At 38.0% G+C, this 7,580-nt stretch overlaps 1 annotated feature.

Moving 5' to 3' along the window:
• Positions 805 to 1,377: an enhancer, noted in NCBI's record as "NANOG hESC enhancer chr5:42288621-42289193 (GRCh37/hg19 assembly coordinates)". NCBI's record gives its function as "activates a minimal SCP1, AML or CMV promoter by ChIP-STARR-seq in primed H9 embryonic stem cells {active_cell/tissue: H9 hESC(primed)}" and the evidence as "EXISTENCE:reporter gene assay evidence [ECO:0000049][PMID:30033119]".

Raw genomic sequence — 7,580 nt, 5'->3', positions numbered from 1 at the left:
GGTTAAATCAGGGAGACAATTGTGAGAAACACCGGTAGTAGTAACACTGAAAGGGGCAGGGAGCTGATGAGATGAGAAGGGGGTGGTAAGTTTAATTTAATTTTGAGAAATTAATCCTAGTTGATTTTGAGTGGGTATCAGCAACCTTGTTCTGTAAAGGTTCAGATAATAAATATTTTAGGCTTTGTGGGCCATGTAGCCTCTGTCACATCTATTCACCTCTGCCACGGTTGTTTTAAAACAGCCATAGATAATATGTAAATGAATTAGTGGGATTATATCGCAATAAAACTCTACTTACAAAATTGGCAGTGGGCTGAACATGGCCTGTGGGCTGTAGTTTGCTGACCTGACTCAGAGGATGGTGGTTTCTTTATCAGAAAAAGAGCTCCAGCCTGCTTGCAGATGAGGCGAAGAGGTAGCAGAGGTGAAGCTGAACTGAATTTGGATGTGCTGAGTTTGAGACTCCGGCAGGCTTCCCATGAGAAAATGTCCAGCAGGCAGATTGGAATATGCAGTTGGAGCTGGAAGAAAAAACAGGATAGAAATATAAATTTTGGAGTAGTCATCATAGTGCTGACATGTTAGTTTTACTCTAAATTAATTTCTATAGGAATGTAATCTAAATAGAAAATTTAAAAGATATAAAATATGAAGTTATGCTTGTTACGGTTTCTGAAATTCAGACACAGCTAACTTTCATGTGTGGGTCATGTAAAGGAGGCCTGAAGTTTGAAACTAGCAAAGAATCAAGGGGTTCCCCATTTTCACTGATCAGTATAGGACACTAAAATATCAAGAGTCTCCTGTGGCACCTTGAAAACAAACCAAATAAAGGACCAAATCTACTCTTTATCCTGTATCTTCCATCTTTGTTTGTGATAATCTAAGCTAGAATCATGGGAATTATCTTAGGACCCTCCTTCTATGAATGAATCTGGTTTATTCCATTTTTAAAAATGTCTCTGTCAGGCCTCTGAGCCCAAGCTAAGCCATCGCATCCCCTGTGACCTGCACGTATATGCCCAGATGGCCTGAAGTAACTGAAGAATCACAAAAGAAGTGAAAATGGCCTGTTCCTGCCTTAACTGATGATATTCCACCACAAAAGAAGTGAAAATGGCCAGTCCTTGCCTTAAGTGATGACATTACCTTGTGAAATTCCTTTTCCTGACTCAAAAACTCCCCCACTGAGCATCTTGTGATCCCCACTCCTGCCCACCAGAGAACAACCCCCCTTTGACTATAATTTTCCTTTACCTACCCAAATCTTATAAAATAGCCCCACCCCTATCTCCGTTCACTGACTCTCTTTTTGGACTCAGCCAGCCTGCACCCAGGTGATTAAAAAGCTTTATTGCTCACACAAAGCCTGTTTCATGGTCTCTTCACACGGACGCGAGTGAAACTCTCAAATGCCAACCATTCTTCCACATTGCTGCTGCCCTACTTTAGGCTTTCATCGTTTTTTTGCCTGGATTGCTAAAATAATCATTTTAACTTTTCTATCAATCTTTGACTTTATTTTATACTAATACTCATATTATTATATACAAACAATCTCTGTACTAATCCTTCCTCTTATTCCTTCTTTGTGCTACCATTAATTTCAGAGATGCACTTGGATAATTGTGCTTTTCTTCTTTGCAAGTCTCTACTGGTCCAAAGGATCCGGTTCTATGAGGGAAAAGGCTTCAGTGAGAAAACACAGCTAGTGTACTCCCTGGACACTTTGGCCCCCTTGTACCAAAACCACCAGCTGATGAGAAGAAACACTATCCTAATTGTGATAATTGACTGTAATCATCAAGAGACAGGGCTGTTGTTAATCAATGGGGGCAGGGAAAAATATATATTTGGCATGCATATGATTAACTAGGATTAACTAGTTAATTGCTTCTCTTCTAACCAGGATTAACTAGTTAATTGCTTCTCTTGTTTCTTTTCTAATTTTGATAGTAAATAGACAAGGGCAAAAACAATGTTTTGAAAAGATCATGGGGCTGTAAAACTTAGGGATGAGAGTCAGGGTCACCTCCTCAGGTAAATCTTTCAGACTAGCAGAGGTGCTAGATGAGGGTGAGAGTAATCTAAAGTGGGTAGTTGAGCAAGAAAATGATGAGTATTATTTATAGCCCTGAGACCAGTTGTAATTATGGAGGCTGTAGTTCATTCTACTAACCTTCCTTGTATAAGTTTTCCCAGGAAGAGAGATTGACCTCAATCCTAGAGGAGCAATTCCCAGATGGGATGAAGCAAGTGGATCTGAACAATGCAATGGGTGAACTCTGAAACAAGAAAGTCTGAAACAGGTCTCAGTTAATTTAGAAATTTTATCTTGCCAAGGTAGAGGACGCACCCGTGACACAGCCTTAGGAAGTCCTGACAACATGTTTCCTAACGGTGGTCGGGGCATAGCTTGGTTTTATACATTTTAGGGAGATGAGCCATTAATCAGTATGTAAGAAGTTTACTAGTTCCATCCAGAAAGGCAGAGACAGCTCAAAGCAAGGCCCCCCCACCGAGGGCTTCCAGGTCACAGGTAGGTAAGAGACAGATGGTTGCATTCTTTTGAGTTTTTGATAAGTCTTTGCAAAGAAGGCAATCAGAAAATGCATCTATCTCTGTGAGCAAAGGGCTGACTTGAATAGAATAGGAGGCAGATTTGCCCTGAGCGGTTCCCAGCTTGAAAGGACCCAAGATATTTTTCTTTCACAACTCTAATGGATTGTATTAGTCCATTTTCACACTGCTATAAATAAATGCCCATGACTGCATAATTTATAAAGGAAAGAGATTTAATTGACTCACAGTTCCACATGGCTGGGGAGGCCTCAGGAAACTTAGAATCATGGTAGAAGACTAAGGAAGCAGGCACCTTCTTCACAAGGTAGCAGGAAGGAGTGAGTGCAAGCAGGGGAAATGACAGATGCTTATAAAACCATCAGATCTTGTGAGAACTCACTCACTATCATGAGAACAGCACTGGGCAAACTGCCCCCATGATCCAATCACCTCCCTCACTTGGCATGTGGAGATTACACATCTCTCCCTTGACATGTTGGGATTACAATTCGAGATGAGATTTGGGTAGGGACACAGAGCCCAACAATATCATGGATGCAGGGATGCATGGCCCAGATCCCCTCTTTAGTACCAAGGCACCCATACCCCCACCTGTCAGTAGTGTTGCCTGCTGATTGCTTGCAGCTGAGGCCTTCCCGGGGCAGAAAGGCCTAGCCTTTTCCTTCAAGTTGGGACATATGTGAAGAACCAAACCAGCCTCTGGACTCCATGTGGGAATGGCTGAGGCCTCTGTTGCAAAGACATCACAGTTTGACTTCTCCCCTAGCCTAGTCCTGCTTCCTTCTCTGTCTTCTCTAAGACACTCTACAACAAGCCACCAGCTTACAATTCTCTATTCCAGTGTCTATTTTCATGGGTTCTCAAACTAGAATATTCAATATTACAACATTTTTCAAGTTGATAACTAGGGACGTAACGTTTCAAATCCTAAAACCAAATAAGCACATTTTTATGAATTTAATTTTTTATCAAAATTCTACTCTTAATTCTTTTGAACTTCAGAACATATATTGCTTTTGCTGTCTCTTGCTCTCTCTCTGCTCACAGGCCCAGCTAGTTCAGGTACTGACTCTTGGCCTCTCTGGCACATCATTTAAAATCCTTGGTTTCATTTTAAACAAGCCAGGAAATGGGGCCCCAAAGACAGACTGGAGACCTTTGAAAATCTTTAAAGAGTTAAAGCCATGATAACTCAATTTCTGCTACTTCAGATCTATTTAATGCTCTGTTTCAAGCTGTCACTTTTTAATCTTACTGATTTTCATTGTTTATTAAAAGATGAATGATGATCCTATGTCACTGATTCAATCAGCTGGACCAAATATGTGAGATGAAAGCAATGTATGTTGAAAAAGCTGCCAACCAAATAAAATTTCCCAGGGTACAAAACAAGTGGATTAAGAAAGTCAGCGTTTTGTCTTATGGTCATTTTACTGCAATAGTCAGTGATAAATGTGTTCTGAAACAGTGGCCATGTTATGCATTTCATCAACACATCCTAATATATAGGAAGCTTACTTGTAAGGTAAGATTGACTCTGGGTATTTGTATGCATGACAACACAACAGCACAAACGCTGTCTATAAACTAGCATGAAAACCTCATTCAAGCCTCTGGCATGTACATCTACATTTTTTAAGGATACTGATTTGTGTTAGATGCTTCCAGCCTATTAATTTTTCCTCCTTCCCAAACCTTGAAAGTTTCTGTGTATCTTTGGTAAGATTATTTTGTTAAAATAAAAGATTAAGAATTTTGCAGCTGTCTTGCATTATAATTCTGACTGCCTTGCTTGCTTTGCCTTCTGGATTATAAACTGTCTGTGCTAAGAAACAGAGGCTTACTCTTCATACATTCTGCAGTGCAGGAATTCGTAGGCAGTGTGTTACTAACAAATAATGCTGAATTTAATTAGGGCTGGGAAAGCATTCAGAACTCTATTAGCTGAAACTTCTCATCTTTCAGATGAAGAAACTGAAGCCCTGAGTGATAGGAAATGAATTATTTATAGACGGAGTAACCACAAAATGTGCACAAATTAAAATGAAAAAAAAAAAAAAAAGACTTAAGTACAACTTATTTCCAGTCTGTTTTGTGCAATTACCTAAATCCAATTACACAGTAAATTGCCCATAATTAATTAAGAAACCTTGCTTGTTAACAATCAACTTCTCTTACAGGATGGCTTCTTGTGTTATGAATTTGTCTGACAAACTTCTATTTCCAAAATAATTTTTCTTTTTTTAGTACAAAGTAAAATACATTAGGTTCATTTGCATTTAGGGATATACTTAATAATTCCTTCTTGTTTTAGAGTAAGTATCTGCAGACTGATTACCCATTAAACCTTAAGATTCTACATGTCCATGAAATGCATTCCTAAGCTTACTTACTATTTACTTGCCTTTTTGGTTACTATTTACTTGCCTTTTTGGTTACAGCTAGATTTTCCCCTCCATTAGGTGTTTGCTTTGTTAAACATCAAATACAATGCTAGAACAGATTAAATGAATTGTGAGCTTAGAGACAGAGCTGGCTTCATGGTTGTGCAAGCTCTGCATTTGCATTAGGGCTCTGTGCTTAGAAGGACTATTTGCTTTCTTAAATGCTCTGCTGTCACTGTCTTAAATTTTTAAATAAGGTTTTTTGAACAAAATCCCTGTATTTTTATTTTGTACTGGTCCACAAGTTAAGTAGCCAGTACTTAATTTGAAAGGTAACTTTCTAATTAGAGGTAACTTGAAAGAATGGTACATTCTTATCTTTTCTACACAATTCTAATAATAATTAAACTTATTATTTTTGTCTTTTGTGACTCTTCAGTGAAATGAAAATTGAAATGTTAAGCTTGAGACTTGGTCTCTAAAGCTTTTAAAAATACTATTTCTGCATTAAATTCATTCAATGATTTTTCTTTCTGTCTCAGTAGAAATAAAAATTAATTGGTCCATTGATGGAGTATTTTGGATGTATTTTGTACAATCCTAGGTTTGAAGTTGTACAAGATAGACAAATTCTGCAATGGCTAGTAAACTTCATGTGTCTAGAATCCACAATTACCATATTTACAACTATTTCCCTAAGACTTGGCATATAGCAGGAAGAATTTATTTTCTTTTTCTTTTCCCTTTTTTTTTTTTCTGAGGTGGAGTTTCACTCTTGTTGCCCAGGCTGGAGTGCAACGGTGCAACCTCTGCTCACTGCAACCTCCGCCTCCCGGGTTCAAGCGATTTTCCTGCCTCAGCCTCCTGAGTAGCTGGGATTACAGGCACCCGCCACCACACCTGGCTAATTTTTTGTATTTTTAGTAGAGATAGGGTTTCACCATATTGGCCAGGCTGGTCTCGAACTCCTGACCTCAGGTGATCTGCCCGCCTTGGCCTCCCAAAATGCTGGGATTACAGGCATGAGCCACTGCACCCGGCCAGGAAAAATTACTTTTAGAAAATCTCTGGCTTCTACAGCTTTAATTTTGAGCATTCTCTTCCTTCTATTATTAAATGTAGAAAAGCAAAGTGAATTGATGGTTACCTGGGGCCTAGGTAAATGAGATTTTACTGAATACTGTGCCCATTGTTGGGATATTTATCAAAAATATCAGATTTGCTAATTTTGTATAAAATGTTTTAGGTAGAGGGTATGGAAATAGAAAAATGAGATTTCTAAAACACGGGCCATAGGGAAATAGAAAGAAATGTATAATACCTGGAGAAAACTAAGCCCCTGACACTACCTTATAATTTGAAATTCAAATGGAATTAGCTCAATCAATCATACATGCTTTGTGAGACTCAACTCCTTTCCTATTCTCTCCAGGGATTCCTTGAGACAAGGGCTGCATTTCTTGGAGTCATATACAGTGGACTCCAAATGCAGTGGACTCTAAGTCCAGTGGACTCCAAAAGGAATGTGCAGTTCCTGCTTCTGTTAAATAAACCAAGTCTGAGAATTTTCTTGCTTTGTAATCAAATGCTCTCTCTCTTTAATATCCTGGCTTACCCTATGGGGACTTATGCAAATGCTGACAGATTTTAATGAAGATTTGAGACATATGAGGGGGTGTGCTTTTCACAAATACAAACATCTTTGAATGAATGTTATTGTGTTTCCATTTTTAAATGTCCTTCTGCCATCCTACAAGTGGGAATTCTACATTGAGTCACATTTCTTCTTGGGTTCTGGGCACTTCCATGTTACTTTGTTCTCTCCCTCTATGTTCCATGCTGAGTTCCCCCCACTCTTTTCTCTTCATATTTATCCCAGTCTCTGCATTTGTCTATTTGCAGATCATGACTCAGTTTCTGTGGTGTCTCAGGTAAGTTTTGTAAACAGAGTTATCTCTAGCATGATGTGAAAAATGAGGGAAAAAAGCTATGAAATACATACTTACAATTAGTGTATTTACTTTAAATAAAAATGGCATGATACACACGGTTTTTTGGCTTGCCTCCTCCAAACATTTCTTCAACATTCTTCCCTTATTCTTCACCTTTTTGGTTACATTTATTTTAATCATGTAGAAAAAAAATTGCTGTGACCAAGAAAATTTTTATAAAAACTTTTACTCTCACCTTACAGAATAACAAAAGATGTTTTCAAACTACACAGATAGGTGTTAATAACAAGCTCCTGACAGCCAATTAGTAAAGGTTTTGAGAGTTAAAGAATTCAAGTTCTTTCAGTAATTTCCCAAGGATGACCATGGTATTACTTTATTTTGATGCAGAGAGGTCTTCTGAAAACAAATTCATCTATTCACTTTTTTATTAAAACTATATTGAGTGCCTACTATTTTCCAGCCACTATTTTAGTTAAATGAAGTATGTCAGTGAACAAAACAAAGACTTCTGCACTTAAGAAGCTCATGATATGAGACAGACAATACAAACATAAATAAGTAAATTATACAATGTATTTAAGTATGCTATGAGAAAGAAAGAAAAGTAAATAGGGTAAGGGCTGCTTTGTATTTAAGATATTAATCCAGATATTTT

Source organism: Homo sapiens, chromosome 5 (genome assembly GCF_000001405.40).
Source record: "Homo sapiens chromosome 5, GRCh38.p14 Primary Assembly".
Lineage (NCBI taxonomy): Eukaryota > Metazoa > Chordata > Mammalia > Primates > Hominidae > Homo > Homo sapiens.
This window is presented reverse-complemented; position numbering and strand designations above follow the sequence as displayed.